At 47.6% G+C, this 7,186-nt stretch overlaps 1 long non-coding RNA gene across 1 annotated transcript; it reads left to right on the top strand.

The window, feature by feature from the left end:
- Window positions 1-608: 608 nt before the first annotated feature.
- LOC105372096 (uncharacterized) lies at window positions 609-6,616 on the top strand. The gene is made up of 3 exons (XR_935430.4): window positions 609-3,676; window positions 4,901-4,957; window positions 5,919-6,616. It is a non-coding gene; the product is annotated as an uncharacterized LOC105372096 (long non-coding RNA).

Below are 7,186 nucleotides of genomic sequence, written 5' to 3'. Positions count from 1 at the left end.
ACTTTGGCCTTACCCTACCTCTCTGGCCTCTCTCTTCCACCTCTTCCCTCTTGGCCTTCCTTTTCTCATCTCTCCATCTCCCCATTTGTCTCTTTGGAGCTATTGAATCATTCTCTGTTTGCTTGGTCTCCTGCTGAGCCTGGGTCTCTGCTCACCTTCTACCTTCCAAAGATATTTTCTCAAAGAGGACCATTTCCTCTCTAAGATGAATTTTGGTGACAGCTATAAGATGTTCAAATGTTTCATTATGACAATTGTAAAATGTCAGACACTCAAGCAAACAATAACGGAACCTAAGGTTACTATTGGAGGGTCATCTCTGAGACCTGGGCATTGCCTTTTTTTTTTTTTTTTTTTTTTTTCTTTTTTTTTAGATAGGGTCTCACTCTGATTCTGAGACTGGAATGCAGTGGGATGATCTTGGCTCACTGCAACCTCTGCCTCCTGGGCTGAGGTGATCCTCCCACCTCGGCCTCCTAAGTAGCTGGGACCATAGGTGTGCACCACCATGCCCAGCTAATTTTTCTATTTTTATTAGAGATGGGATTTTGCCATATTGTCCAGGCTGGTCTCAAACTCTTGGGCTCAAGCCACCCTCCTGCCTTGGCCTCCCAAAGTGCTGGGATTATAGGCATGAGCGACTGTGCCTGGCCTGTCTTCTGTATATCATAGTAAGAAAAAGATCTGACGAACAGGGAAGTGGAACTTCAATACATATTTTTGAATGAATGAATGTATGAACGAGCTGAAGATTAAAGTGATTATAGTTTAATAAATATTTATCAAATGCATATTATTTGTCACTTCATTCATTCAACAAATATGTTTCGAACCCCTGTTTAGGTCAAACTACTTGAGTATTTGAGAATACAAGAGTTGCAAATGCACATTCAATCACTATGTTCATGGAACATAGTGTCTGGCCAGAGAAATACAGGTAATCAAAAAAACCTCACTGCTGAATGTTTTCGTTATAAACCATACTACAAAGGAACATGCAAGTGCTATGAGAGGCTCAGACAGGTAGCAACGAACTGGGATTGAGCACCAAGGGGGGCTTCCCGGGAGAGACAGGGTTAGCTAGGTGGAGTTGTGGGGGATGCAATTCCAGGCGGGAGAGAGCTTGGGACCCTTACGGAAGGCCAGCACGCTCCTGCCCGGAAAAGGAGGGGGACATGGTGGGAGATAAAGTTGGAGAACTGGACAGAGGTGAGACCCTATGGGGAAAGGTGGCCCCATAACTGATATTGATTTTGATTTTAAGAGAATCAGCTAGTCCTTGAAGGGTCATAAGGAGGAAGAGGACATGATCAGATTGACACCGAAAAACCTCACCCTGCTGCAGCGTGAAATGTGAAACTGCTGGGGCCCAGAGTGTTTGAAAGGAGGCCATTTAGGAGGCTGCTGGTGGTGGTGAGGACCAGGACGATGGGTGATGTGGGATGGAGTGAAGGGGACAGGGCTGAGAGCTCCCCAGGAGCCAGATGGATAAGGAGGCCAGTGACAGATGATGATGGGGGTGGAAGAGGAAAGGGCTGTGTCAAGGATGTTGCTTCTCAGCAGGGGCACAGAAGTCTAAGACATCAGTCCCACTTGAGAATGGGATTGCTTGCTGGAGGAGAGAGACCAGCAAGTGTAACCAGATATGAAGTGGGCAGTTTCAACCAAGGCATCAAGCTACGATAATGCCACTCTGTAAAGGAGGCCCTAGACCATGTACAGAGCTGTCAGACAAATCAGTTGAAAACCAGTTAAACTGTTCTTGGGCCCTTCTTGAAGATTAAAGATATAAAAGGGATGACATAATGCTGATAGAATCATTGATTTTTTTTTTTTTGAGACAGGGTCTTGCTGTGTCACCCAGGCTAAAGTTCCGTGGCACCATCATGGCTTATAGTAGCCTTGGACTCCCAGTCTCAAGAGAGTCTCCCACCTCCGTCTCCTGAGTAGCTTGGCTCATTTTTTAATTTTTTGTAAAGATAGGTCTTACTATGTTTCCCAGGTTGGTCTCGAACTCTTGGGCTCAAGTGATCCTTCCTCTTCAGCCTCCCAAAGTGCTGGGATTATAGGTGTGAGCCACCGCACCTGACCCTCATTGATTTTTTAAAAGGATTTCATGGAGAAAACTGGGCTAGGAACCCCATCCTCAAGGTAGAGGGTTGGGGGTCAGTGCTTCCTCCTGACTCCAGGCTTAGCGAGAAGGGCTTCCACAAGGCCACCCAGAGAGTTTGCCGTGGATTCCCCCAGTTGGGTCCCAGAGCACTGGAGCTGGAGCCCCACTCTGGCCTGAGGAAGCTGAAGGGGCCCAGAGCAGCAGAGCTGGGCTGATGGAGGGTCAAAGCAGGATCAGTCCTGGTGGCAGGGATGTATGCTCAAAAGTCAGCCAGAGGTCTTTAGAAAGGATAAGGGGACCTTGGCAGTGGGAGGCTGTGGGGTGTAGTTCTGGAGCAGAAGTGAAGGTGGGATCAGGAGAGGCCCATGTCAGGGGATCCTGGTCAGAGGGGAGCCTGGGAAAACCCACAGGCCTTCCCATGGAAGAGTTGGCTTTAAACATCCATGAGGACCACAGGAATACATACAGTCCTCTCACGAGAGTGACCCAACCCTGCGATGGGGGTGGCTGGGGCATATGTCAGAATCTGCAACTACCAAGAGCAGCAAGAGGTCAGCAGGACAGGAGATGACTGGCCCCTTCCCTAGGCAGCAGCTGAGCTGCCAGGCCTGGCTAAGGAAGAGACATGGAACAGGCTGAGTTTCATGAACATCCAGCGTGGGCTCCTACAGGCTCTATACAGCTCTAATTTTTGACTTGAGACAATATTCATCACTTACAGGGTCTGTAAAACTTTTAAATGATCTGAAAGTGATCCACCAAACAGTCACAGATCTGTTCAAGATTTTATCTAGTGTCAAGGGAAGGACTGTTCTCACTAAGCAAAAATAAATGTGCTTTTTATCATATCTGGGAGTCCTGCTTGTTGGATGTACTGGGTACAGAAGTAATTACAAAATGATGAGCTGTGTGCAACAATTGAGGTATGAGTGAAGGAGAGAGGAACTTGAGGAGCAGAGGAAGGTTTTACAGAAGTGACTGCTGACTGGGCCTTGGATTGCATGTTGGAACTTGCCACTGAGGGAAGGCGAAGCATTACAAGCAGATGGATCTGAATCTGAAAAGTCAGCAAGAAATGAGTTTGCAAGTGGTCACACAGGGTGGTGGGTGGGGGGTGTAGAGGACAGAGGCAGCACCAGACTTTGGTGGAGACTTTGCAAACAGGGCTAAGGAATTGGTCATTTGTTTCCTGAAAGAGAGGGTAACAAGAAAATAATGTGTCCTCACATCAATTTTCTGGAGAAATGATTCTTGCAGGTGCGCCGTAGGAATTCCAGCCTGAGTAAGGTAAGAGTAATTTGCTGGGCGGCCAGTAGGGGTATGATCCCAGTGAGAGAGGCAGGAGGAGAGGACTAAGGCAGTGGCACTAGGAAGAGAGAGGAGGGGTCCAGTTACAAAAATGGGGTCTGTTTGCCATTGACAATGAGGGGGCTGTGTGTGCGTTTGATCATAATAGTGAGGTCAGTCAGGAGAGGAGTGGGGTTGGTGGAAATGGGGTAGGTTGAAGCCAGTGTGGTTGGATAACGGGGTGAGGATATGAGAGCCTGCAGGCCTTGGAGACAGGTTAGTGTTTTGTCCTAAGGTCAGGGAAAGCCACTGGAGCACATAAGCTGGGGAGAGACATGATCTGATTTATTTTTAATAAAATCTGCTTTGAGCAGAGTGGGTTGGAGGGGGGCAGAAGTGGTTGAAGGCTCACTGTTCTAACACTGAGTAGCTGAACCCAGGGAGAAGGCTTCCCCAAAGTAGTTTTGGGAACTAACATTTCAGTGAACCAGAAAACCATCAACCTCACAACACCGCATCACTCTCTTCCTCCCAGAGGAAGAGATGCCTCATTTTGAGACGTCAGACTAGCTAGTTACCTTGAGAAATAAGGGGCACATGGTTGGTGGGGAGCTGTGGTGGGAGCTGGAGCTGCCAGGACATGCATGTGTGTTATTTGCATTGACGTATGCTCACTATCACCACCTTCCCACTACATATTTGTAATTCACTCATTCATTTACTTTTAAAGGCCACGTTCCTTTTCTGCTAGGCAGTTGAGGTACACAGGACTTGCTTAGAAAAACTGAAGTCTGAGGGAAAAAATAGGCAATTGGGATAGAGTAAATGACTGGTCTCAATACTTCACCCCTCACTGTGTCCACACCCCCTGCCATGTAACTTTATAGCCCCCAAAATAGAGAGCACTTCCTTGCCTCTTGACTCTGGGTTTGGCCATATGTGTTGATTTGTTTATCCAAAGGGTGTCAGCAGATGTGATGTAACTAAAAGGCCTCCCAGGTGCTTGCATTTCCAGGGTCACTCCTGTGCATTTCTACCATGGCCATGAGAAGAGCTTGCCCTGGGTGGCTGCTGTTCCTTCAGGCCGGCCCCAGATTGAACCTGTTATAGGACCAATAGGTTCATATGCCTACTGTGCAGTCACAAACCAATTACACCAAGGCAGCAGGATTTGCAGCAGAGAAAGAGTTTTTGATCATAGGGCACCAAGCAAGGAGTTGGGAGGAGACCCTCAAATCCATCCCCCGGAGGAGTTCTGAGCTGGGGCTTTTAAGGGGACCATGGAGGGTGATTCCTTGGTAAGTCAGCTTCTCCTGGGGTCCTTCAGATCAGCTGACATCAGTAGTTTCACTGGTATGCAGGACCTGAAAGGAGTATCTCAAAGGGAAATCTTCACGTTTTATAATGTTCAGATTGTTGGCAATAGGGCAGTTAAGGGGAACTATGCTCTTGTAAAAGAGAAATCTTCATGTTTTATAATGTTCAGATTGTTGTCTATAGGGCAGTTAAAGGGAACGATGATCTTGTAACAGGATCTACGTTATTCTGAGGCAACAGGTAAGGAACCACGAGGGGTGGGTCAGAGAGCAAGCTGACTTGCTGATGAATGCTGAGTGTGCTGCAAGCTTGGTTTATTTTCATTTCTCCCCCTCCCTTCTTTGCTGATTAATTTTATAAAGTTTATAGGGATGGTTTCAAACTCACGTAGAAAAGAGTTGCCCTGGCCATGTTCAGCTGGTCCTATAGATTGAGGCAGACCTGCCAGCTGAGCCCAGCATATATATGTCATCCCAACCCAGCCCCAGACATGTGAGAGGTAACACCATGCCACTGAGATTTGTATGCTTGCTTGTCGTGTGGCAATAGCTGGCTGACACAGGAATGCACACAACAGCTCTAACGTCAGCGTGAACTAAAGCCTGCAGAAGGAAAGCACCAGGCCCGTTTAGAAAACAGGGGTTTCTTCTGTTTATCCACAGTGTGGGTTTCATAAGGAGAAGGTTGGTCAGATTATAGAGGGTCTCTGCTATCAGCTTGAGGAGCTAGAATTCTATTAGTTTCATAGACATTTGTTATCTTGGTAATCCAGCATCTGAATCCCCTTCTAAAGTTTGAGAAGAGCACAGTTCCCAGCATAGCAGTTGGAAAGGCCAAATACTCTCTTTCCCAGCCTCCTTTCCAGCAAGGCTGTGGGCACATGACTTAGGCTCAGCCAATCAGATGCTCCGGCCCCAGACTGAATGGCAGAAGGCAGCAGAGTCCATTCTGGTGAGGGCGGCACAAACAGGCAGCTGCTGTGGCTCTAGCAGCAACAGCCAGTGCTGAAGCTTGTGGTGCACGCTGTACATCCAGGCCCAGCATTGGTGGAAGTCGGGTCCTCTCTGGACCAGCATGATTCTAGGCATCATTTCCAGAGTGTAGATCTCTGGGACATTCTGAGATCCACCTTCCATCAGCTTAAAAAAATAATTTTTCTACTTAAACTAGCCATTGTTGGTTTCTGTTGCTTTTAATCCAGAACTCTGGCTGAGAAAATTCAATTGCCGTGGGGCGTAAGCAAATGTTTTTGAGCTGGAGAGGAATATGACCAACGCCATCCAGCAGCAAGAGAATGTACTCTAAGGAGGAGACGGGCACAACGATATCATTTTGCACATTTGGACATGTCTGTGCACATGCAAATGGTCATTGGATGAACAACCTCTCCCTATTATCATAGGCTTGGGGTCCCACCCAAGTAATCACCCTGTCTGTCCTTTGTGCTTTTATCAGTACACAAGAAACCGATGGGACTCTACATCTTAGCTTTATCAATTAGGACTCCTCACCACCACTGCACAGTTCAGGGCCTTGTGCTATGCCTACTGAGGCCTCCTCCTACCTCTCCACAAATCTAGACCTTGCACTGGGATGAGAAGTGGGTCTGCAAAGCATGCCCTGAGCACCCGTTCACAGCCAGCTATGTGCAGGATCCTCACACCAAGGAGCTGGGGTGGGAGTTGAGTCAATAGCCAGGCCTGCACCATAGGCGTGACCCAGACAGGCCATCACATGGAGATGGAAAGGCAGCAGATAAGGCCACTTCAGAGAGACAGGGTGGAGCCCATGTCCTGCTCCTGAGACCAAGCAATGCCTCTTCATGCTTCCTTGCAGACCATTCCCTCCCACTAGTCCAGCCCTTGGCAACCATAGGCTTCTTTTTTTTTTTTTTTCTCAGACAGGGTTTTGCTCTGTTGCCCAGGCTGGAGTGCAATGGCACAATCACAGCTTACTACAGCTTATTGCAATCTCCACCTCCCAGGCTCGAGTGATCCTCCAGCCTCAGCCTCTTGAGTAGCTGGGACTACAGGTCTGTGCCACCAGGTTTTAAATTTTTTGTAGAGACTGGATCTCCCTATGTTACTGCTAGTCCCAAACTCCTGGGCTCAAGCGATCCTCCTATCTTGGCTTTCCAAAGTGCTGAGATCACAGGTGTGAGCCACTGCACCCATCAGGCCTGTTTTCTGATCCTATAGTTTTACCTTTTAGAGAATGTTACATCAATGTAATCACACAGCATGTATTTTTTCTGACCGCTTTTCTGCACTTAGCGTAGTGCTTTCCAGAGGCATCCATGTTGTAGCATGTTTCCCGACTCCCTTCCTTTCTATTGTTGAGTATTATTGCCTGTACAGATGTACCTCAGTTTGTTTACCCACTGGCCAGGTGATGAATGCCTGAGTTGTGTCCAGTTTTTGGTTATGAATAAAGCTTCTATGAATATTTACATACAGATCTTGTGTGGAT

This window comes from Homo sapiens, chromosome 18 (assembly GCF_000001405.40).
Source record: "Homo sapiens chromosome 18, GRCh38.p14 Primary Assembly".
Taxonomy (NCBI): domain Eukaryota; kingdom Metazoa; phylum Chordata; class Mammalia; order Primates; family Hominidae; genus Homo; species Homo sapiens.
The sequence above is the reverse complement of the archived record's forward strand: the minus strand, read 5'-3'. Positions and strand labels throughout refer to the sequence as shown.